Below are 24,363 nucleotides of genomic sequence, written 5' to 3' on the forward strand. Positions count from 1 at the left end.
CATCTCACCTGTGAGGCCGCTGGTGTGGGGAGAGAGCACAAGTACAGTAGGCATTCGGGCCATGGTTCCTGCTTATTTGCTGTGCAGCTTTGGACAAGCTTCTTAGCTTTCTGAGCCTCAGTTTTGTCATCTGGAAATGGAGATAATATAACCACCTACACTGCAGTATAATTATGAAGATTAAGAGTATAAAATTCTCAGCCAGGCATGATGGCTCACGTCTGTAATCCCATCACTGCGGGAGGCCAAGGTGGGAGGATCACTTAAGTTCAGGAGTGTGAGACCAACCTGGGCAATACAGTGAGACCTCATCTCTATTAAAAAAAAAAAAAAAAAGCCAACTGCGGTGGCATGTGTCTGTACTCCTAGCTATTCAGGAGGTTGAGGTGTGAGGATGGCTTGAACCTGGGAAGTGGAGGTTGCAGTGAGCTGAAAGTGCGCCACTGCATTCCAGCTTGGTTGACAGAGCAAGACCCTGTTTCCAAAAAAAAAAGTAAAATTCTTGGTTTAGGTTTTGGCATGAAGGCTGTATTAGACACATAACCATGATGATCATGGAGGCTGCTAGACCCAGCTCAGATTACTACCCAGTGGACTAGCTGGATGACCTTAGGCACTAGTCATTTAAATTCCTCCTCTGTGAACCGGGTTTAACAACACTGCTCAGGGTGGGGATAAGGAACAAACAGACTAAGTCCTGCCTGTGGATAGACTTTGGAAATGGATACTTCATGTCCTTGTCGTAGTCCAGGGCACTGGTGGTATTTCCTCTGCCAGGTGATTTGAGAACTCCTCACGGGTCCCCAGTGAGAGGCGGTGAGCGACTGTGTGAAGGAATGAGACAGCATGGGAGGTGGAGGAGGTTGGTGTCTGCACCCACCCTGCCCGAGAACGGGACAGTGGGGGATACGTGCAGGACAAAATGGCCTTGCCCCCGACTCCAGGCTCCAGAGGCTGGGGGTGAGCATTCTCTACCCCCATCCCAAAGCTATGGCAGAGGAACCCTGCAGCAAAAGGACACGGAGTGCCCATGGTATTCTGTGTGAAAGTCACTGAGGCCAGAGACAGCTCTTCACATCCTGTGTTGCTCAGGCCTTCCCCACCCTGTCCCCCTGTGGGGTCTCAGCCCCAGTTCTGGGCAGGGAGTGTGGGATGCTTAGGAGCGGGGTACAGGCTGAGCCTCAGCCACCCTCACGGGAATCCATCCTGGGCCCCTGGCCCTGGCCAGACAAGCTGGCAGATTGCCCAGCCACATCCAAAGGCAATGCATGCTCTGAGCACAGAGCCTGGCCGAGGACACCAGAGAGCAGGAGAGCGTGGGGGCCGTGCAGACACATGACAAGGCTTTGATAACACAGTCTACCTGCCATGTCTGAAAAATCAGGCGTGCGTCTTCCTGGCAGGGAATGCAGTTTCCTGTTAATGAGTTGTGAGAGGTTGGAACAAGTTATCAGAGAGAGGCTGGGAGGACTGCTTCCCGGGGCAGCTTCCAGGAGATGGAAGCCAGGCCCCAGCCTCCTCCCTTTGGGCGGCTCAGCTATTTGAGGAGCATCTCTCAAAGGGCTGAACTAAAGCCTGGAGTGAGAGTCCCCAGCCTAGGCCAGGACCTGCTGGTGGATCTTGAGCCCCTGCTGCGAGCTTCTCCGGGCCTTAGCTGCTGCACTCCCCTGCCTCAGCAGGGACTGGCCGGAGTCCCCTCCCCTCTGCAACCTCGGGTTCTCAGAGGGACCAAAGCCAGTAACCCCATGACAGACGGATCTCTGTGGTTCCTCGCTGCTTGCAAAGCACTCACACTTGTCATCGTATTAGGCACTCACAACAATCTGTTTGAGAGAAACAGGCTCAGGGAGGTGAAGTGCTCAAGGTCATTCTGCCTGGTGGGTCTGTTTAGGGTAATGCTGGCTGCTGTGACAGATAAACCCAGAGACTTCAGTGCTTGGAGACAACAGACATTTCTTTCTTGCTCATGTAAAGTCATATTGATGGTGGGGAGAGCTCTGTTCCCTCTGATGACTCAGGCACTCAGGGTGATGGAGGCGCCATCATCTTCAGGTTGTAACACCCAAGATTGCCTCGGCCTTGGAATATCCATGAATGGTTTTTATGGGCCAGGCCTCAAAGTGGTGTATGGAGCCTATGCCCACACCCCATTGGGTCCTGCGGCTCCACCTAGATGCAGAAAGGCTGGGAAACGCAGTGCCTGCCTGGGCGGCTATTTCCCTTCAACGGCTCTGTCTAAGGAAGGGGAACTGGTGCAGAATCGTTGCTGGCACAGTAGAGGATATTACCCTCAAATAAAGGCTGGGGACCCCTAGTGAGAGTTTGGTCACCTAGGCGTCAACAAGTGCCCAGTGTGGTCTGAGACCTGGAAGAAGACTCGCTGTGTGGCTCTGACCCCAGAAGGATTCTGGATCTCCAAATGCTGTTCCAGCCTTCTCGGCAGCCTCTTGCCCCTTCGTTAGCTTCTAATGTACATGGTTTGCTCATGGCCCAGCCCTGAGACACCCCTCTGTGGCTCCTCATGGCCCTCAACATAGAGACCAAACCCCTTGGCCTGCATTTGAAGTCTTTCCCAGGATGGCTCCAGCTGACTGGCCACATTGCTCCCCTTATTCCCTCCCCCGAAACCTATGCTCCTCCCTGACCAGCTTCCTACCTCAGGGCCTTTGCACATGCTGTGCTCTCTGCCTGGAATGTCCCCCCTGTTGCTCTCCACCCTGCGGGTTCCTGCTCATCCTTCCCGATCCATCACAGGTCCATGAGGCTTCCTGAGCAGAGTTAGCCACTCGGCCAGCATTTATTGAGAGCTTACTGTGTACCAGGCACTGCAATAAAAGCTTCCCAGGAATTAACTCATTGAGCTCCCAAGCCTACAAGGCAGGCGTCCCATTTTCTTTTTCTTCTTTTTTTTTTTTTTGAGATGGTGTCTCGCTCTGTTGCCCAGGCTGGAGTGCAATGATGTGATCTAGTTCTGTCACCCAGGCTGGAGTGCAATGGCATGATCTCGGCTCACTGCAACCTCTGCCTCCAGGGTTCAAGCAATTCTCCTGCCTCAGCCTCCCGAGTAGCTGGGACTACAGGCGCCCACCACCACGCCCAGCTAATTTTTATATTTTTAATAGAGACAGGGTGTCACCATGTTGGCCAGGATAGTCTCCATCTCTTGACCTCATGATCTGCCCACCTCGGTCTCCCAAAGTGTTGGGATTACAGGCATGAGCCCCCGTGCCTGGCCAGGCATCCCATTTTCTAGATGAGGAACCCAGGTCTGTGAGGAGTGTGTGTGAGGTCACACAGCTGCAGAGTGGCAAAGTCAAATTCCAAACCCAGGTCCCCGTGGCTCACAGCCAGGCCTTAACAGCTGCATAAACTTCCACCTATTCTTAGCACCTGTCACAAGGCTTCATAATCATTCATTTACTTGCTGTTTTGCTGGGAAATTGCTTACTGTCTTTCTGAGAAAGCAGCTGCAGCCTCCGTAAGGACAGAGGTCAGGCCTGATGCATCCTAGAATCTTCCTCACCACTGTCCCCACCAGCACCAAGGCCAAGGTCTGGGTGGTGATTTCCTCTCAGATAAATCCCTTACCCTTTGAGAACCAGAAAGAGAAATTCCTCAGATTATGGTCTGTCATAATCCCCTCCCTGCTTCCCTGTCAGTTTTTGACAGTTACCCTGAAACCGTTTTAAAATGATCTCAGAGGCAGAGACTGGCCTTCTCCACGCATGATTAAGCACGATGGCTTTTTAATGATTTGAGCTGTGCCTTCTGTGAATTGACAAAAATGGATTACCATATATTTCTGAAAGCCACACTGCCAAAATCAGATTTTTTTTTTTTTTTAGTTTTCTCAGCCATCCTCGAAAACCTTAGCTGAGAATGACAAATACTAGGGGCTTTAATTGTTCAGTCACATGAGGGTGGTGCCTCCTGAGTTCTGAGAACTGCTCTCGCCAGGAAAGCCTTGAAATGCTCCTGGGCTTCGATCTTTAGGAAATTGAACTGTGTGTTTTCTCTGAAGCGGAGAGCTGTCTCCTGGGCCGTGGCACGTTTGCTGCATTTGTGAATTGTTTGGGCACTGAGGTCTGAAACAGAGGCAGTTCTTGCCCCAGAAGCATGCTCAGGGCTGTCACGACTGGATGAGGCCTGGCTTGGCTGTGGGTGGGTGGACAGGGCAAGCGGGGAGGGGGTTCTCCCTGTGTGGGCACTTCCTCCTCCTTTTCACTCTCCTGCCAGACTCTGTTCATGGAGTCCTGCACCCTTCACCTGATTCAGGCCACCCACATCTGCGACAGGGTTATTGCTAGTACCTTGGACAGATGCAGACTCGCTGCTGGCTCAGAGAGGTTAAGTCATTTGGCTGTGGTCACAGGCTGGTAAGCCACAGAGCCAAGGCACATGGTTTGACCACAAGCCTGTGCTTCCCCCACAATCGCTGCTGCTTTAAAAAAATCAAATGAGGCCAGGCCTGGTGGCTCATGCCTGTAATCCCAGCACTTTGGGAGGTCGAGGTGGACAGACCGCCTGAGCCCAGGAGTTTGAGACCAGCCTGGGCAACATGGCGAAACCCCGTCTGTACAAAAAAATTAGCCAGGCGTGGTGGCATGCTCATGTAGTCCAGCTACTCAGGAGGCTGAGGTGGGAGGATCACGTGAGCCCAGGGAAGTCAAGGCTGCAGTGAGCTGTGATCGTGCCACTGCACTGCAGCTTGGACAACAGAGTGAGACCCTGACTCAAAAAATAACAATAATCATCATCATCGTCATCATCATCATCATCATCATCATCATCATCATCAAATGAGAGGCAACTCATAGGTATCCTCTGTAGTCCATTTACATTTAAGGAAAACAAACCTCATTGTGTATCCACTAGCATCAGTGGCTTCAGTCGTCTACATTATCTGCATTTCACAGAGGAGGATGTTGAGGCTCATGAGATAAGGTAGCTGACCAGAAGTCACACAGCTAGTAATAGGACAATTATGATTTTATTCTAAGTCTACCTGATTCCAAAGTTTCTGCCCTACTCTGTCCTTTGTAGGAATCTGTCTCAGGCTCCTTCCTCCCTCTCTAACACAGGTAAGTCTGGCAAGGGGAAGCCTGAGTGGCTTCTGTGAGGTTCTGGAAGGGGCCTGTGGACCAAAGAAAAGGGAGGCCCTTGGTCTATAGGAGTGTGGGCTGGTCTCCTCTTTACTGATGCTGGGAGTAAACCAGATGGATTCGTCATGGCCTGATGGAGAGAAGGCCACCTGTCTGGCCTGTGGTCATGTGTGCTCTCGGCTCCTGCTCTGTTCTATGTCAGGGTTAATTTACTATATATTTACTCCAAACCTACCATGCACCTGGCATCACACTAGGCTCTTTGGTGGCTCCAAAGATGCATCTGGCAGGATCTCTTCCTTCCAGGGCTACCATCTGTCAGAGAAAAAGACCAACTCAGACCCTCCTATGAGTGAGCCTGGGCCAGGGGATCAGTGGTGGGGCCCAGAATGGTGTAGGTAAGAAGAGCCATCCCTCGAGGGCATCTGGGGGGGCTCCTGCAGAGGGTGCCCAGGCTCCTAGGGAGAGGCGGCAGCTCTCTGCAAGGTAGTGCCTGCTGCAGGGGGGCCTTGCTCCAGCCCAGAGGTGGGAGATAGGGTCAGGCTAAGCCACAGGCCTTCAGGAGGTAGCCTGTGGTCTCAAAGCCAAGAGTACTTCCCTGGGACCTTCTTGGACCCTCCAAACCAGGCCCAGTCTCCCAAGTTGTGCAGGAATGGAATGGCACAGCAGTGAAGGGCAGAGCAACCAGGGAAGATGGCCAGAGTTGAGTCCTGGCTCCCTGTTCATCAGCCCTGGGAGGTTTAGATGATTCTCTAAGCCTCAGTTTCCCCATCTGTAAAACAGGGGCAGGAATTGCACCCTCCTCCTCAGGTGTTGTGAGACTTAAAAGAGGTGCTGTCTGTGGTGCGCTCAGCAACATGGTGTCGGCCTTCACGCAGGTTTGCGTCTGCGGCGTCCGGCATTTTGCATGATCTCTAGCCCTCAGGATGGTTTGCAAGGTGGAGGTCTTGCTCCCACTGTGGAGGATGAGGAAACTGAGGCAGCTAGTAAGTGGTGGATCCAAGCGTGGGTTTCCAGGACTCAACCCATTCTGCTGGCCCACTGCCTGCAGCTAAGCTATCCCAGCAACTACAAAGACCCTCCCTGGGGCTCAGCTCCCTACCAGGCTCTCCTGGCACTGCCTCTGCTATCTCTTAATGTTTTACAGGGGTGAATGGGACCTCTTTGATTTCCTTTCTTTTCTCCTTTCCAATAATCATCATTAATCTTGTTATCAGAGCCATGCATCTGCACCTCTTGGCTGTGGTCCACAGGCCGTGTTTGCCATGATCAATGCATAGCTCTGTGTGGCCACAATGTATACCCAAGACAGCACTGCAACCCTGTGTCCGTGGGCCTGGGAGGCTCTGGCACTGTCAAAGACAGCTGGAGGCTCCCCCAGGAGCTGAGGTGAGGCACCTGGCTCACATGCCCTGTGGTCTTGTTGAATTCTTGTTCCTGGACTGGTAAACAGCTACCCCCACAGCTGGGGAGCATCTCCAGCTGCCTTCACAGGGTCTCAAAGCACAGACCCAGGTGCTCCTGCCCCCGTCCTCCTCATCCGTAAGTGCCTAGAGGACAATTCACCAAACCAAGATGGGTAGCTCTGGAGTCCCGTTGGGCCCAGCCACTCATCATACAGCAGCCAGTCAGATCCAGTTCCTAAGCCATCCAGACCCCCTTTCTTGAAGCCCCAGGGCCATGTGTGATCTGGCCTCCACCCCCTCACTGCCCACTACTTTCCCCCTTTCCCGCTGCACACAACCTTTATCTTGGGATTTTCAATGTGCTGTGCATTCTGCCCGCCGTGCCCTTGGCCCCTTTCTCCTGGGCCTCCTTCAAGCCTCTGCCCGAACGCTGCCCATCTCCTGGCTGTGCTCCCCCGCCACACCTAAATGGAGCTCCTCCTTAGCCACTCTGTTTTTCTGCATCACACACGTTACATTTAGATGTGTCTCTGTGTGTCTTTCCCCTCATTCCACTAGGCTCCAGTGCCAGGCACACCCCGAGTACCCAAAAAATACATTTGGGATGAATGAATGAATGAATCTTGAACAAGTGACTTAATTCCTCTAAGCCTCAATCTTCGTCTGTAAGAGGGGGACAATGAGTTTTTATTTTGTTTATTTATTTATTTATTATTTTTATTTTTATTTTTTTTTGAGACGGAGTCTTTCTCTGTCGCCCAGGCTGGAGTGCAGTGGTGTGATCTTGGCTTGCTGCAAGCTCCGCCTCCCGTGCTCACGCCATTCTCCTGCCTCTGCCTCCTGAGTAGCTGGGACTACAGGCGCCCGCCACCACGCCCGGCTAATTTTTTATATTTTTAGTAGAGATGGGGTTTCACCGTGTTAGCCAGGATGGTCTTGATCTCCTGACCTCGTGATCCGCCCACCTCGGCCTCCCAAGGTGCTGGGATTACAGGCGTGAGCCACTGCGCCCAGCCGAGCTTTTATTTTTTTGATTTTTAATTTATTTTAATTTATTTATTTTTGAGACAGAGTCTCTCTCTGTCACCCAGGCTGGAGTGCAGTAGCGCAATCACGGCTCACTGCAACCTCCACCTCATGGGTTCAAGCGATTCTCATGCCACACCCTCCTAAGTAGCTAGGACTACAGGTGTGCACCACCATGCCCAGCTGACTTTTGTATTTTTAGTAGAGATGGGGTTTCACCATGTTGGCCAGGCTGGTCTCGAACTCCTGGCCTCAAATGATCCACCCACCTCAGCCTTTCAAAGTACTGGGATTACTGGCATGAGCCACTGCACCTGGCCCAATGATAGAGTTTTTAAAAGATGGATGTGAAACAAACAGCACAGTGCCAGGCAAAAAAGGATTGTTCTTAACTTCTGATAAGGAAGGGTTGGCTGGCATTTAGAATTCCACATTCCACAAGAAGCTTTTGTGGGGGTGTCCACCCTGGGCTAGGATCTCAGAGCCTCATGGAGTCAGTGTCTGGCTCCCAGCACCTCACACCACAGAGGAATTGCCTCTGGCCAGGGCACTGGCTGTCTAGGTGGCCTCCTCACATAGAGGCAGTGCAGGGAGGGTGTCCAATCCTTCACTCCGCAGATCCCAAAGGCACCTTGACCCTGCAGGGTCTGTGTAGGCTTAAATCAACCAGGCTTAGATCTAGCCATGAAGACACTCCCTGCCTGGAATGGACTTGAGAAAAGGACACAAATTACTGTAATAGAAGTTGAGAAACAATGCCTTTGATATAAACGTTCAGAGGAGAAAAACCTCAGATCCACGTGGGAGAGTCAGGGATGTCTTCACGGAGGAAGAAACATTTTATCTAGAAGTTAAAGTAGACATTGGATTGAGACGTGTGGGGACATTGTGTGTTAGAAGAGGGCATGCCAGGTAGAGAAAACAGCTTGAAGAAAGGGCTGGAGGCTGGAGAGAGTGGGCCACATGGAAGCAGTAGTTTGCCTAGAATGTGGAACACATGAAAAGACGATTAAGACATAGGCGGCCAGTCGCGGTGGCTCACGCCTGTTATCCCAGGCCTGTCTCGTGGGAGACCGAGACAGGTGGATCACTTGAGGCCAGGAGTTTGAGACAAGCCTGGCCAACATGGCGAATCCCCACCTCTGCCAAAAACACAAAAATTAGCCGGGCATGCTGACGCATGCCTGTAATCCCAGCTACTTGGGAGGCTGAGGCAATGAGAATCACTTGAACCCAGGAGGTGGAGATTGCAGTGAGCAGAGATCACACCACTGCACTCCATCCTGTGTGACAGAGCGAGACTGTGTCTCAAAATGTGTATGTATGTATGTGTATGTATATATATATGTGTGTATCTATATATGTGTATGTATATATGTGTGTATATGTGTGTATGTATGTGTGTGTATATATATGTGTATGTATATGTGTATGTATATATGTATATATATGACATAGGACTGTAAGAACATTGTATCAGTCATCTATTTCCATAATAGGGTTGTATTATAACAAAGTATTCCACAGTGAGAGGCAGACCACAGTGTTGTTTGTGACTGCAGATAGGCTGGAATTTGGTTTATCTAGGCTGCATCTAGCTAGATCCAAGTCTGCTCTGCACATATCTCATCCTTCCTGGACCAGTGGCCATTTGAGGTTCATTCTTCTCATGGTGAAGGGTGGGAGCCTAACGGAGCAAGCCCAGCCATGCAAGCATGTTTCAGATCATGTCCTCTAATCCCTGTGGCAAGTCTCATGGCCAAACGTAAGATCAAGGGCAGAGTTTAATTCCCCACCCACTATGAAGCCAAAGCAAGTTACATGGAAAAGCACAAGGTTAATGGGATAGGGATATTTACTCCTCCCAAGGAGGGAGAGGGAAGGAGTGAAGATTTGTTGAACAACCATCTAATTTCCCCAGGCAAGTAGAGGCCAGAGTGTGAAGGGTCTCTGTGTCTGCTGTTAGGAGCTGACCAGAGCAGTAGCTGGACTTTGATGTCTGGTGGGATGAGCGGCAAAGGGCTCTGATTTTTGCCCTTCTCCCCATTGAGGCAAAGAGAGTACTGCAGTCCTATTGGGTAGTTAAAATGCCCCAGTCCCTGCCCAGCTCTGTCCTGACTTCCCCATGGCTCACACTTTCTGCTTGCCTGGCACAAAGGTAGTACCTTCTCTGCTGGGCCAATCATCTGCCAGGGCTCTTAGCTTTGCCAAGCCTGAGGGTGACTTTCTCTGCTGGAACTGAACCTTGTGATAACAGCCCCATGCATTGAGTACCTACTGGTATGCTGGGTGTGTCATATTCTCCTGTAGTGAGTGCCTGCTGAGTGCTGGACAGTGTATGGGGGTTCTTTATATGTATTCTTCCAAACTCATCACCATACCACCCTAAAAGGGAGACCTCATTGTCCCATTTTACTTTGTTTAATTTTTGTTTTTGCAGCAGGGTCTTGCTCTGTCGCCCAGGCTGGAGTGCAGTGGCGCCATCACAGCTCACTGCAGCCTCTACCTCCTGGGCTCAAGCAATCTTCCCACCTCAGCCTCCCAAGTAGCTGGGGCCACAGGCACATGCCCCTATGTCTGGCAAATTTTTGCATTTTTTGTAGAGACAGGGTTTTGCCATGTCGCCTAAGCTGGTCTTGAACTCCCGGGCTCAAGCGATCCACCTACCTAAGCCTCCCAAAGTGTTGTAATTACATGCCTGAGCCACTGCACCCCGGCTCATTATCCCATTTCACTGAGGGTGCAAGAGGTCAAGTCAGTTGCCCAAGCTCACACAGCAAGGATGGATGAGGCTGAGATCAGAACCGGGTCTGTTTGGCTTCAAAGCCCACGCTGTCTTCCCTATCCAGGCCTCGCAGGAAACATAAAGTTCACGTGCTCTGGAAGGTGGCTTCTGGTCACAGCTCTGCCCTGAGTTTTGTGACTTTGGAGATATCACTCCAGAATTCTGGGCTTCAGTTTTGAGATGAAAGCAGTTCAGAGCTTGCTCTACAGCACGGTCAGAGGGAGTTTTTAAACACAGGTTTCCAGATCAGACAGCACCCTCAGCTCTTATTTAAAAACAAACATTAACATTTTACAAACACACCCTGTTTTCCAATGAGGAGCTGTGTCCAGCAGACTGCTTCAGTGAACTGTGTCCAGCCACTTGTCACAGGGAACCTTCTCCAGCCATTGGCTGCAGTAATCATTCTCCAGCCAGCTGTGGCAGCAAAGCGTGGCATCTGCTCAGGAAGGGTGGAGGAAGCCATTAGTTCCACCAGGGCCCTGACGTCTGTGGCTGCCCATTTCGCCCCCCCGACAGGGATTTCCTTGGTAGCTGGCCACTACTGTGTGTGCTGTGTCTTCTCCGAGTCCCAGGGGCCTGGTAAAGTGTTGGAGAGCCCCAAGAAAGAGCTGTTGGCATTTCCAATCGCCATTCATTCATTCATTCAACAACCACTCGTTTCTGCCTTCTCTGTGCCCAGCCTGAGGATGGATGCTGGGGCCACTGGGAAATGTTAGACCCAGCCACTGCACCCTGGGATTCACAGGCACCTATGCAGAGACATACAATATCGTGTACACAGTGCTGGGACAAAGTCACATGCAGCAGAGTTGGTGGGCATCAATGGGCATGGTCAGTTCTGCTTGGTGGCTCAGGAACGTCTTGGGAAAAGGCTGAATGTATGAGCCAAGGCCAGAAAGATGAGTAGGTGTTTACCGAGCCATCTCTGCAAAGGAAGGCATCCCAGGCAGAGGGACCCATATCAGCAGGCACGCCAGGGAGTCTGAGGAGCTGCTGGTGGTCTGATGTGGGTCAAGCATCACTTTGCAAAGAGAGCAGGACAAGAGGTGAGGCTGGAGAACTTGCCACGGCTGGGACCATGGGTTCTGCACGCTGTGTCCAGGAGTTTGAACTTGGAGAACTGAGGCAGGGGTGAGGTTGAGGGCTGTTAAACAGGGCGGTGATGTGATCATTATGCTCATCTTTCATGTATCAGCCTCCAGTAAGAGCATTCTATTGGGTTCCAGGAAGAATCCCTAAAAAATATCTTTCCTTCCAGAGGCTTCAAGAAACCTTTGCCTGGAAATATTCAGCCTCAGAGCACAGTGCTATGTCACCCAGGAAATAGCTATCATGGGAAAATTCAAGGAAAATATTCCTGCTCAAGGAAAAAAAATTAAAACACGACACACGAGAAACAGACCAGATAGAAATGGAGAGGTCCCAGTCCGTAAATGGGTTTTATGCCGCCAGAAGACCTCATCATATTAGACGATCTGGTTTTAAACAATAAACTTTGGGTAATGGGGATGTCACTTTAATTCATCTTCCTAAAAAACCCATGTGGCAAAAACATTCCAGTTGCTATTGCTACATTGCAAATTACTCCAAAACTTGGGGGCTTAAAACAATTATTTTATTATGCTCACAGATTGAGTGGGTCAGTAATTCAGAAAGGGCACAACAGGGGACAGCTTGTCTCTGTGCAGTCATGTATAGACCCTCAGCTGGGAAGGCTTGAAGGCTGAGGCTGACTCGACAGCTGGGTGGTAGTATTATCTGGAAGCTTTTTGAGTCATGCGTTGCAATTGATGCTGGCTGTTGGCTAGAACCTCAGATGGGACTGTCAGTCAGAAAACTGATACATGGCTCTCTACATGTTTTCTCCTTGAGAGCTAGCTATCTTGGGCTTCCTTACAGTATGGTGGCTGGTTCCAAGATCCAACATTCTGAGAGGCAGGAAGTGGAAGCTGCCAGTTTCTTAAGGTCTGGGCCTTAAGGTCAAGCCAGGCACAGTGGCTCACACCTGTAATCCCAGTGCTTTGGGAGACTGAGATGGGAGGATCGCTTGAGGCCAGGAGTTCAAGACCAGCCTGGACAACATAGTGAGACCCCCATCTCTACAAAAAAATTTTAAAAGTTATCCAGGCATGGTGGTGCACTCCTGTAGCCCCTGCTTCTCGGGAGTTCAAGGATGCAGTAAGCTATGATCACACCACTGCACTCCAGCCTGGATGACAGAGCAAGAGACCCTGTCTCAAAAAAATAAAGAAAATAGCACCTCATCCTTTCTGCTTCATTCCGTTGGTCCAGATGATCACAATGGTCTGCCCAGGTTCAAGGGGAGGAGCCATGGGAGGTGTGTCAGTGTCACAAGAAAAGCTTCGTTCTTCTTGTGGGATAAGATACACCACAGCAGCTGCCTTTGAAAAGATGGTCTGCCACACAGCCACATGGGTTTCTGTGGATGCTGAGAAAAACGTGTGTGTTGTTTCTTTACAGATTAAGAAAAGTCTGTGCATTGTCTCATTAAATTAAATGCAGCCATTAGTATGTGGCTCTGGGGATATTGTGGGAATAGGCTATGCCTTGGGTGATTTTTTTTCTTCTAAATGTTCTTCCTGGAGTTTGTGTTGCCAGCCTGACCATTTCTCTTTGCTAATATGATATCACATAAAAACATCATCATCATTAATATGGCAGAGTCAGCAGGGTGGGATACAGACCGTGATCCAGGGAGGCAGGCTGGTTCCTGGCTCAGCAGCTCCTGGGGAGGAGGTTCTGGGAGCTGGAGGTTCATTTCCTTGTAGAGATTGACACGCTCTTCACAGAAAGCTTTGTGCAGGGCGAGGCTTTGGGCACATGTTGTCACTCTGGGCAGCCTGGTGGGAGGGTCTTTGTCTAGTGGTGGCAGCCCCTGGAGTAGACACTTAACCCTGCTCTGGACGTAGTCACCACAGACGCCCATGCTGTGGGCTCGTTTTGTTCAGCCGAACCCCTTACCTTTAATGCCTCCTAGGGTCAGACTGTAGCCAGGCACTGGGAGTTGTGAATGCGCCACAGCCCCCCTTGAAGCCCTCCCCATCCAGTTGGAGGGGGCCTTTCTTTCATTCCTAAATACTTACGGGCCCCCGTGGGGGCTGGAAAGTGTTCTGGGCAGTGGAAGGTGGCGGTGAACCGAGTTCTCTCCCTAGGAGCCAACCCCTCAGGAGAAGACAGAGTGGCTGGGAAAGCAGATCCGTGCGTGATGCCCCTGGTGATGAAGGCTGGGGAAAACCAGAGAAGACAAGGAGACAGTGAGTGGCATGAACAGTTTCAGCAGAGTAGCCCGCAGCTACCAGGGCCTAGGCAAGGAGCAGGTTTGGAGGCCGAAGTGGAGGCTGAAGGGACAGCGTGCAGCCAAAGTGGAGGAGGAGAGGCAGTGAGGGAACCAGGACAGATCACAGGGCCCCAGGGACGGGAAGGACTAAGGCTTTCAACTCTCAGTCAGATGGGAGCCATGGGGGGTTTCGAGCAGAGGAGTGGCATGATATGACTTGAATTTTTGTTGTTGTTGTTGTTGTTGTTGTCGTTGTTGTTGTGACGGAGTCTCGCTCTGTCACCCAGGTTGAAGTGCAGTGGCGCTATCTCGGCTCACTGCAAGCTCCGCCTCCCGAGTTCATGCCATTCTCCTGTCTCAGCCTCCCAAGCAGCTGGGACTATAGGCGCCCGCCACCATGCCCGGCTAATTTTTTGTATTTTTAGTAGAGACGGGGTTTCACTGTGTTAGCCAGGATGGTCTCGATCTCCTGACCTCGTGATCCACCCGCCTTGGCCTCCCAAAGTGCTGGGATTACAGGCGTGAGCCACCGCGCCCGGCTGACTTGAATTTTTTAAAAAATCTCTCTGGCTGCAACGCTGAGGACAGATGGGTGGATCGGGGAAGAGGGAAGGGCAAGGGTAGATGCCAAGGGGGCGGGGAGGAAGCCAGTGGAATAAATGCAAGAGAGAGGAGGTAGCTGGGTCAGGGCAGTAGCACGGAGAAGGTGAGATGTGGGCAGTGTCTGGAAATCTCGCAGAGACGGCCAGCAGGATTTGCTGCAGGACTGGATGAGGGGGTGTGAGACAGGGTCAAGGGTTGGGGGCCACAGCTCTTGGGAGGAGGACATTGGTGTTAATCAAGATGGGGAAGACTGGAAGGAACAGGTCTGGAGGAAGGCATGGGATTGGCTTTCAGACAGTGAAACATGCGATGCCCAAAGACCTTCAAGTGGAGACATGCATGCAGAGTTGGATATGTGACTTTTAGTAGAGACAGGGTTTCACTATGTTGGCCAGGCTGGTCTCAAACTCCTGACCTCATGATCCGCCTGCCTCAGCCTCCCAGAGTGCTGGGATTACAGGCGTGAGCCACTGTGCCTGGCCGATGGATTTTAAGATTTGAAATCACTAAGAGAATGAGGGAGGACAGAAAGGAAGCCCAAAGGCAGAGCCCCAGGGCACCCCAGTCTTTAGAGGTCTGGAGATGGGGAGGAACCAGCACAGGAGACTGGGAAGAAGCCATCCCAGGGTAGAAGGAGAAGCAAGAGGAAGAATGGCAGCCTGAAGGCCAAGATCCAGTAAGGAGCCAGGATCCGTGACACCCGGAGACCAGCCTGGCTCCTGCCCTCCTGCCGTCCCACTGTGGGGAGGACACAGATGCAGACTACAGTCCCCACTATTATAAAGTGACAGGGACAGGGAAACGCATGAGTCCATTAGCATGAGATGAGAATGGGGGGAGGTGGAGGTGCACAGTGTAGGGGCCTAGAATGTGGACATTGGGGCTGGGGAAGACCCTCTCACAGAAGAAGGGCTCTAAGCCGGACATCAGAGGGTGAGATTGCATGCATGGCTTTGTGGGCAATGAGCCATTAGAGGTGGGCCCTAGATTTCCACAGGAGAAGGTGGGATGGGAAAAGGCAGTTCTGGCAGAGTCTGTAGAAGAGTCATAAAAGTATCGGTATGTAAGGAGGGAATGGCAAGTGGCCCATTTGGGTTGGGGGGTTCTGACCTTTGGGATGCTTGGAGACAAGGCTGGAAGGTTGGTGGGGAGGGGTATGAGAGAGGCAGTGGGGACCCTTGACCTCAAGGGGCTCACAGTCTAGTTAGGGAGGCAAAGCCCCACAGTGCAGGGAGGTAGTGGTGGGTGCCCAAGAAAGTGCTGTGGGCACTCTCAGGGCAAGAAGAGGTTAGCTAGTGGAACCAGTTCAGGCTGCCCCTGGGAGGTAGACCTTGAAGAACATGTTAGTGTTGAACATGCCAAGATGCACAGAGAAGATTTCTTGGCAGAGAAGACCACACTTGCCAAGGTATGGAAGCAGGAGCTTGCACCCCTTCCTACATGGGTACTGAGGAACCATTGGCAGTTCCTGAGCTTGGGGAGAGACCCAAGTTGGATCTGGCTTTAGAGTGAATAAGAGGTAAAGGGAAGGGGTCTTGGAGATAGGAGGACCCTTTTGGAGGCAACTACACAACCAGATCAGGTAGTGATGGCCTCGGCAGCAGATACAGATGGGACCTGTGGGGCGGTTTTCCTTTAAGTTGGGCCAAGGGTTTTTGCAAGCTGCAATCTCACGCTCACGTTGCCCTGCAGGGTGAGAGAGAGGGCCGGGAATGTAGTTGCACCCCAAGGCCTCACTGACCCAAGAAGATTTTTGTGGAGGGGCTGCCCAGTGCCAGTAGGGGCAAGGAGGGCCACATGTACTCACTATCATGCCAGCCCTTGTCCATCAACCTACCCCATTTAACCCTCCCAGGAGCCTTATGAGGCAGGTCCTAGTGTCACCGCCATTTTGCAGATGAGGGAAACGAGGCACAAAGAGGTAGAATGGCTTGCCCTATTGCACAGCTAGGGTATAAGAGGCCAGGATTTGAACATCTCCCTGACACCAAAGCCAGCCTCTTAGCTATGTGTGAGGTTGCCTTGCAAAGGCTTTATTCAGTAGCCAAAGGTCCGAACCCTCCCAAAGGAAAGGATCAAGAGGGTCTCCCTGACCTCGTTGCCCTTCCTCACTCCCTGGCCAGGCTGCTATTTCAAGGTGAACTAAGGGACCCCAGAACTGATGAACAATCGGTTCAATGAACTGATTTATCAAGCACTTAGTCTGTGCCAAGCATATAGGTTGTATTTATCAGATGTATCTAGGCCAGGTGTGTATGTGATGTATTTATCCTGGCTCAGGAACCTGCAGTGGCTCCCCAGTGCCCTGGTCCAGTGGTCTTAACCTCATTTTATAGATGAGAACTTTGATGCTTAGAGCAGATGTGTTGCTGGCTCATAGCGGCATTTGAACGCGGGGCTGCTGATTTCTGGGCCTGTATTATTTCTAAGACACCTCACTGCCTTCTGCACTAGCAGGAAGGGGTGAACCCCATGGCTTCAGAACTGGAACAGGAAAGTGGACCAACATGGAGCCCGCCCCAGCCACAGCCCTAGGGAAGCGTCCAAGCTGGCTCTTTGTGTATAAATCATGGTCTGTTTACTGAACAGGGAGTGTGTCTTTCCTCCTGGGGAGCTGCCCCAGGGTGGCTGCAGGTGCAAATAGGGTTGAATTCAGGATAGGGCCTTCTCTCCTGCCCAGCCTGACCGCTGAGTAGCCTCTGGACTGGAATGAAAGGCTTTCCAGTAAGTGCCTTGCTGGACTGCAGCTCAGCCATGTGCCAGGTGGGAATGGGGGTGGGAGACCAACCAAGAGAAGGATTCAGGAGCCTGAGAGCAGGGGCAGGAACTTGCCAACAAATCTCTTAGCAAGCTGCTTTCTCAGCTGGCCTCATAGAGCGTCCCCAGGGACGTCACGGGGCAGAGCTGGTCACGAGGAGTCCTGGCTGCCCTCCCAGCCTGATCTAGAGGAAGAAGGGCGCATGGGGTGAAAACACCAGGGAGCTCAAGGCAGGATTCAGAAATCAGACACTGCGGCTGCCTCTCCCCTGGCCTTGAAGGACATACGGCCTGGGCCTCTCTTGATCCGTAACTGATCAGAGTGGGTGGGGTGGGGTGAGCAATCAGATCTGCAACTGTTTTCACAGAGAATTGAGCGGCCCTGCAATGCCTGATGCGTGGAAAACACATTCCACTTGGCCTGGGGCTGGGCCAGTCCCCCCTTGGTCTAATCTTGAGTGTGTCCCATCCCCTCTCTGAGGTCTTCATCTATGACAATGAAGGGGTAGGGGCAGCAGGATCCCCCAGATTCTTCCAGGCCCTTCAAACGTCTGGTTTGAGGTCCTGTGATAGAACAGGAAGGGGCCTGAGCTACAGCCAGGAGCATGGACACCAGGCCTGTACCCTGTGTGCTGGGCACGATCTGCTTTGCTCAGTCTGCCTGGGCTCCTCAGTGCCTCCCTGCTTGAGCACCTCGAGAGGGTGAATACGGGCCAGGAACTCTGTTCAGCCCTGCCACCTACAGGGGAAGCAGCTGGGATGAACCGGCAAAGGATCAAGTCTGTTTGGCTTTGGGATGTGTTTTCCTACCACTTCTTAAGCATGGGAGGGGCTGACATTCTGGAAATTCACTTCAGCCCAAACAGGGAAGCCATCCCAGGACGCAGTGCTGGGTCCTTCCAGCCTTCTCCTCCCTCCTTGGCGAACTCCCTTCTGGTAATAGATTCTCCGACCTCCAGCCCATCCCAGGACACAGGGCTGGGTGCCTCCAGCCCTCTGCTCCCTCCTTGGCGGGCCCTCCCTTCTGGTAATAGATTCTTTGACCTCCAGCCTCATCTTCCTCCTAACTTCTCCCTCCCTCTCACCCTCACTTCCATTCTTTTTCCAGGCTGTATCCTTTTTCAGACCTTGCCCAGCCTAGAGAGGTGGTTAAGTGTGTGAATTTCAGAAGGATTCTCTGCCTTCAGTCAACACAAGTGAGCAGTTAGGAAGCACTCATTAAGGAGATTAGAGGCTAACTCTGAATTCAGGAGGTGCCGCAAAGCCCACGCTGCAGACTCAAGTGGGCTCAACAGGCTCCAGAGTTTCCACTGCGGAAGGTGGAGCCTGTGACTCTCAATGTTTTCAGCCTCTGCAGGGAGGACACTGAAGGAACAATTACTCCTCTTAGGGTTACACTCTGGTCCCTAAAGGAAACTACTGCTGCCTGCAATGACTCCATAGTTGTAAGGAGTTGATGGGAGGCGCCACCTCTTTCAGGAAGCCTTTCAGATAGTAGCAGGCATGTCCCTTTCTCCCTCCCCTCCACCTTCACAGTTTTCTGCACTGAGTGCAAAAGGCTCTGGTTGTGCCAGAGGGTGTCTTCCTCATTACTCTTCTGTCTGGTTCATGGGATGGAAAACTATCATTTTGCACTTATCTCAGCCTTTACTCCCAGGACAGGTGCCTGATGCCCAGTGGTAGGGGCCAGGCCTCGTAGCTGGTTCGTGCACTAGAATGAGAATGGCCGCAAATTTTTACTTTGTGTATTTGTTTGGTTTCTTTGCCCAAATTTTCTTTCCTTTTTTTTTTTTAATGGAAATAAGTTTCTGGTTATAAGAAAGTAACCCATGAGCTGAAGAAATCAAAAGGCACCTGTAATCCCGGCACTCAGAGGTAGTCAGTGGGTCATACCAGACTTAGTTCTGTACACTTACACTTTGATGTACAATAAGAATTATACTGTGTTTTTTTCTTATTTGCAATTTACTTAAAAAGAAAGAAAGAAAGAAAGAAAAAGATCCCGTGGATGTCTCCCCAGGTAAATAGGCACAGGTCGACCTCACCTGCGTGGATGACTGCATGGTATCCTATTTTATATTTGAGCCATAGTTCACCCTCTATTAGCTACAACTAATCTTGAAGAGACAGAGGATTGGCACGGTTGATTTTTGGGCCAGGTGCAGTGGCTCACGCCTGTAATTCCAGCACTTTGGGAGACCAAAGCAGGCAGATCACTTGAGGCCAGGCATTCGAGACCAGCCTTGGCCAACATGGTGAAACCCACTCTCTACTAAAAATACAAAAATTAGCTGAGTGTGGTAGCATGCATCTGTAATCCCAGCTACTTGGGAGGCTGAGGCACGAGAATCGCTTGAACCCAGGAGATGAAGGTCTCAGTGAGCTGAGATAGCACCATTATACTCCAGTCTGAGCGACAGAACAAGATTCTGTCTCCAAAAAAAAAAGATTTTTGTATGCCAGGCTGGATGAGGTGGCTCACGGCTCACGCCTGTAATCCAGCACTTTGGGAGGCCGAAGTGGGTGGATCACTTGAGGCCAGGAGTTCAAGACCAGCCTGGCCAACATGGTGAAACCCCATCTCTACTAAAAATACAAAAATTATCTGGGCGTGGTGGTGGACACCTGTGGTCCCAGCTACTTGGGAGGCTGAGGTGGGAGAATCGCTTGAACCTGGGAGGCAGAGGTTGGAGTGAGCCGAGATCGCACCATTGCACTCCAGACTGGGTGACAGAGTAAGACCCTGTCTCAAAAACAAACAAACAAAGATTTTTATATGCCAAAGCAGAGAAAAGTGGGTGGCTGATTGGCACTGATAGTTGACCCGCTGACCAACAGAAGAGTGGACCGAGTCTGGGAAGTGGCTCAGCCTGGGCCCTCGGTCTCTCTGGCCGCTGTTTGCTGCCTTGAGGAGGAAGCAGCCCATGGCGGGGACTCTGGGTCTCGGCGTCACCTTCGATGGTGGCACTGGAGTCCCCCGGATGGTGCCTGAGGCCAGCCTTTGCCACCAAGCCTGCGCTGGCATTGGAGGGGCCCTGAGAACGGTGGCTTGTCCAGTTGGGGAAAAGAGAAAGATGGCCCTGGGTCACACCCTCAATGCTCTGTGCCTGCAGGAGGCCTCAGCGGGGCAACAGTCATTGACTCCCTCGATACCCTCTACCTCATGGAGCTGAAGGAGGAGTTCCAGGAGGCCAAGGCCTGGGTGGGAGAGAGCTTCCACCTGAACGTGGTGAGTCAGAGGCCCTCGGCGGGGGAGGGGGGCGGGGGCCAGAAGAGGCCCAACAGCCAGCTTCACCCTGTCATCTCTGAGACCCAGAGATGTTGAGGGTCTCTCCCACGGCTGCACAGCCCAGCAGTCTCGGAACCGGAGCTGCCGTGCAGTCTGTGCTGAGTCCCTTCCTTAAGACAGCCTTGAGGTGGGGACATCCTCCCCAGTCTAGCATCTTCCCTGGGGAGGGGACACAGCCACGACCATCCATCCCCTCCCTGCAAGGTCAGTCATTGCTCATCTGGGGCACATTGCTTCCACCCTGGACGGCCCCTGGGGCTGGATCTATCACACACAGCAGCTGCAGCAAGTGGGGAATGGCTTTGTGGAGGGGGGACGTGGCTCATCTGCTGAGAGCTGCTCCAGCCTTGAGCCCGCCCTGCACTGGCCTGTTGAGATGGCCGGGTGGGGTGGGCGTGGAGTGGGTGGTGCATATCCCTTTGCAGACCCATGGCCAGGCCTGGGACCTCTTGGTCTCCAGCCTTGCAGGCACACTTGGTCAGGGACCAGAGCCTTTCAGAGGGAATGGTCGTGTGTCTGGATGGCACAACAGCCTTGAACACCACAGCCCACCATGTTGATCTCTCAGCCCAGACTAAAGCAAGGCATGCATCCCAGAGGGGAGCTCCCCACGGAGAGAGGCTATTTACATAGACTTGGGGAGTAAGCAGTGGAGACCGGGAGGGGCCGCATCCAAGCACACACCAGGCTCCATGTGGGCTCCGGGAGTGCCAGGTCCTGCTGCAGACAGGTCTGGGGCTGGTTCCTGCAGCTCCTGGCAGCAGCGAGGACCCTGCCTCCTTGAGAGACAGCTTGCCAGCACAGAGCAGGGTGGAGAGAGAGTCTGGGAGAGCCTGGGAACGCAACACTTTAGGGGAGCTTCCCTGGAGACAGAGACCTCTGGAGTCCTGGCTGCCCTGCGTCTCTTGGAAAAGTCATTGACCCTCCCTGAGCCTTAGATTCCTCAACTATACAATGAGAATGATGACAACAGCAACAATATTAATAATGCCTAACTCATAGGCTTATCATGAGGATTAAATACAGTGGAGAGTTGTAACCGCATTTTATAACACTATGAAGTCTGATACTGATGTAAAGTGAGGTCACCCTTGTCATTGTTAGGATGATTTTGAGGCTTGTTGACATTTCTGGTTGTTTGTGTGAGGCCAAGGAAGCTGAGAATCCCCCCATTACCCCTCTTTGGGTTGGAGAAAGGTGGAGGAAGGAGAAGGAAGGAGTGTCCCCATAGGCCTGCCTCGTTCCCTGTGTAGACAGTGGCTCTTTGGGATACAGAACGGGCTCAGGCAGCTGCCCACAGTGCCTTAGGAGCTGGGGGACACTCAGGCAGGTGGGGCAGGTGAGGAAATGTCCCTGGAAGAAAGCAAGGTGGGGTCACTCGACCTCGAACCTTGACTTTCTCATCTGAGAAATGGGAATGATGACCCTCGCCACACTGACCTCACCGAGCCCTGGGAAGCTGAAGGGGAGCGGTTTTGCAGGTGCTCTGTGGATGAAGAGCTCCCCCAGGTTAACAGATGAGCACTGCTGTTCTCAGTAATAAAGACGATGGTGTGCAAAGCATGCTGAGGGAACCCTCTGGGGCAAGGAGGGTGACAACAGGCATGTCTGGCTGTGGGCAGGCCTCTCTCTGCAGCTCCCCTGTGTCCTGTGTTCACCCTGCACGGGAGGGGTTGGCAGCCCCCTTCTGCAGCTGAGGAAATGGGGCAGGGAAAGGCTGCACATCTTTTCTGAGGTGCCAAAGCCAGGTCAGTGGCTCAGGTGGGGTTTACCCCAGATCTGGTCCTGGCATGATGCTCCAGCACCCCTGATTTGCAATCCCAACTTAAGAAAGAAAATAGAAATGATTAAGGCAAGTGTGGGCATGCCCTGTGCGCTCCGAGCTGAGGGCCCAAGAAACTGCTGTTCACTGAATACGTAGCTGCCTGGCTGCCTGGCTCCCTCCTTCTTAGCCCCAGCCTTTCCCTGTCTGCCCCACAGCCTCCTCAGAGAACCAGGAAAGGGCCTTGCTGTCTTCCTGCTGAGCCTTGGGGTCTCCTCCAAGAAGGTGAAGTAGCCTGGCCAGAGTGGGATTTACCTCCCCTCAGTCTAAGCTCCAGCCAGCAGCTCTCCCGGCAGGTTCTGGCGCTCCTTGGAGCACAACCAGGCATCGCTTTGCTGCCATCATCTCAGCAAGGGCTGGGGAAGGAAGCCAAGCCCAGCATTTATTTGGAATGCTAGAAATTGCAGGAGTTCTGCCAGGCAGGTGCAGATTCCTCTTGACTTTTGTTATGAAAACCATCGTCACCTTGCCTGGCTTACCAGAGCCGGGGACAGGTATGGGAGGAATATCAGTGGCCAGGGTGACCTGTCTCAAGGGCCTGCATCTTACAAGTGTCCCCACTGTCCCCCTCCTTCTTTCTGTCCTGCAGAGCGGAGAAGCATCCTTGTTTGAGGTGAACATCCGCTACATCGGGGGACTCCTCTCAGCCTTCTACCTGACAGGAGAAGAGGTGGGTTGGCCTTTCATGACCCCTGAACTGTCCAGGCTGGAAAGGGCTTTGGAGAATATCCAGTCCTTCCCCCTCATGCCATCCATGGGAAAAGGGACTTAAGGGGGCAGGGATGGGCCTGGGGCCACCCAAGTCCACCCCTGAGGGCCTGTTTTCCCTCCGACCATCCCTCCGCTCCCTGTTTAATCAGTCATTGCTCATCATGGGCATGTTGCTCCCACCCCAGACGGCCCCCCAGGGCTGAATCTATCACACAAAGCAGCGGCAGCAAGAGGAGAATGGCTCTTCCTCCTTTACTCTCTGATCCCTCCATTCTGCTGCCCAGGTGAGCCCAACTGGCTCCCACAGGTGCTTGTATGTTCTCTGAGAGCAGCAGCTGGGTCCATACATCATCCACTCAGATCCCACTCAGCATCCAGCAGGCACCTGGGCTGCTTTTCACAAGTGTTGGTTCTTAGGACTGATAAAGCCAAGACCAAGACCCCCAGGCCTTGTCCTCCACAGCCACCCCTTGCCCTCCCCTCCTGGGCCAACCACCAGCCAGACACCTGCTCCAGGTCTCACGGGGGCAGCAGGTGAGGTGGGGCAGCCACTGCTGTATCTGCCAGTGCCAGGCCTTGCCCCCAGGTGAGCTGTGTTGGTTTCCACAAGGAGGGCTGGGAAGTGCACGCTACAGGAAGGCAGAGCTGGTGCGGTCAGGAAACCTGGCCCTCACTCCACACCACCCTCACCTACTCATGGCCTTAGCGAGCTCCTTGTCCCACCCTGGGCCTCGCTTCCTTCCCCAGCATGGATGGTTCTGATACCCCTTCGCTCAAAGACCTCTTAGGACATGGGATAGGAAGGAAAGGGTGGGGCCCCAAGGCTGATGGCTCCAAAGCCCATCTTCTCCTCCCTGCGAGAGAATTTTGAAAACCACAGAGCTCTTAGAAATGGGAGGCTTCTTCATCCCCGCTCCCGAGCTCCGGTAAAAGCACAGCCCAGATATCTGGTGGCGAGGTTGGCTGAGTCCCCAAAACATCAGTCATTGGTCAGTTCTGTTCCCCATTACTCAGAGAGGCTGCTGTGAGGCTGGACGCCCCCCTGCTCTGACCACCCAGAGACAAATAATGATGCCTGCCCCCCGCCACCCAAGGAGCCATGGAGGTGAGGCGGGCAAGCCACAGAATAATCCCTCTTCACCTCCACTGCTGCTGTCTGGAAAGTCATTTCCGCTTCCCTTCATCTGTGAAGGTGCCAGGGGCTGAAGTCAAGGGTTTCGAAGCAACAGGCGGGCACCTTATCTCTCCAATTGCTCCAGGCCTCTCTCCATCGAGCATAATCTCCTCAGCAGAGATTAGCGCTTGTACCAATTTGTCCCCAAATAATTGTAGATGGAAGCCCTCGGCTTTGAGCCACCCGGAGCCTGAATTTCATTTGAAAACTCCAGAACAGGAAAATGACAGAAGGAGCAGAAAAAGCATCTGTGTTCTTCAGGGCATATGCCCAGCCTTCCTACTTGGCCGTGGTCAGTGGAGATGGCCTGCAGGAAGGAAGAGGGGAGGACACAGCTCAGGGCTCTCGGGGCGGTTTGGGGGTGAGCAATTCAGGAAAGAGTTGGTG

General features: G+C 52.5%; 1 protein-coding gene across 6 annotated transcripts in view, besides 3 other annotated features; it reads left to right on the plus strand.

Annotated features, from left to right (window-relative positions):
- The window catches only part of MAN1C1 (mannosidase alpha class 1C member 1), a 167,660-nt gene that overhangs the window by 109,784 nt on the left and 33,513 nt on the right, over positions 1-24,363 (plus strand). For 4 of the 6 annotated variants that reach the window (NM_001385183.1, NM_020379.4, NM_001289010.2 and 1 more), the window contains 2 exons: positions 20,094-20,209; positions 22,681-22,761. The exons of 1 other annotated variant lie outside the window; for it this stretch is intronic. In NM_001385183.1, coding sequence (NP_001372112.1) covers positions 20,094-20,209; positions 22,681-22,761 — 197 coding nt within the window. Of the gene's footprint in view, positions 1-13,495; positions 13,598-20,093; positions 20,210-22,680; positions 22,762-24,363 lie in introns of all 6 variants that reach the window. One more of the 6 variants, NM_001385182.1, reaches the window with a different exon arrangement.
- Positions 21,574-22,131: an enhancer, noted in NCBI's record as "H3K27ac-H3K4me1 hESC enhancer chr1:26074639-26075196 (GRCh37/hg19 assembly coordinates)". NCBI's record gives its function as "activates a minimal SCP1, AML or CMV promoter by ChIP-STARR-seq in naive H9 embryonic stem cells {active_cell/tissue: H9 hESC(naive)}" and the evidence as "EXISTENCE:reporter gene assay evidence [ECO:0000049][PMID:30033119]".
- Positions 22,132-22,689: an enhancer, noted in NCBI's record as "H3K27ac-H3K4me1 hESC enhancer chr1:26075197-26075754 (GRCh37/hg19 assembly coordinates)". NCBI's record gives its function as "activates a minimal SCP1, AML or CMV promoter by ChIP-STARR-seq in naive H9 embryonic stem cells {active_cell/tissue: H9 hESC(naive)}" and the evidence as "EXISTENCE:reporter gene assay evidence [ECO:0000049][PMID:30033119]".
- Positions 23,248-23,803: an enhancer, noted in NCBI's record as "H3K27ac hESC enhancer chr1:26076313-26076868 (GRCh37/hg19 assembly coordinates)". NCBI's record gives its function as "activates a minimal SCP1, AML or CMV promoter by ChIP-STARR-seq in naive and primed H9 embryonic stem cells {active_cell/tissue: H9 hESC(naive and primed)}" and the evidence as "EXISTENCE:reporter gene assay evidence [ECO:0000049][PMID:30033119]".

Source organism: Homo sapiens, chromosome 1, assembly GCF_000001405.40.
Source record: "Homo sapiens chromosome 1, GRCh38.p14 Primary Assembly".
NCBI lineage: Eukaryota > Metazoa > Chordata > Mammalia > Primates > Hominidae > Homo > Homo sapiens.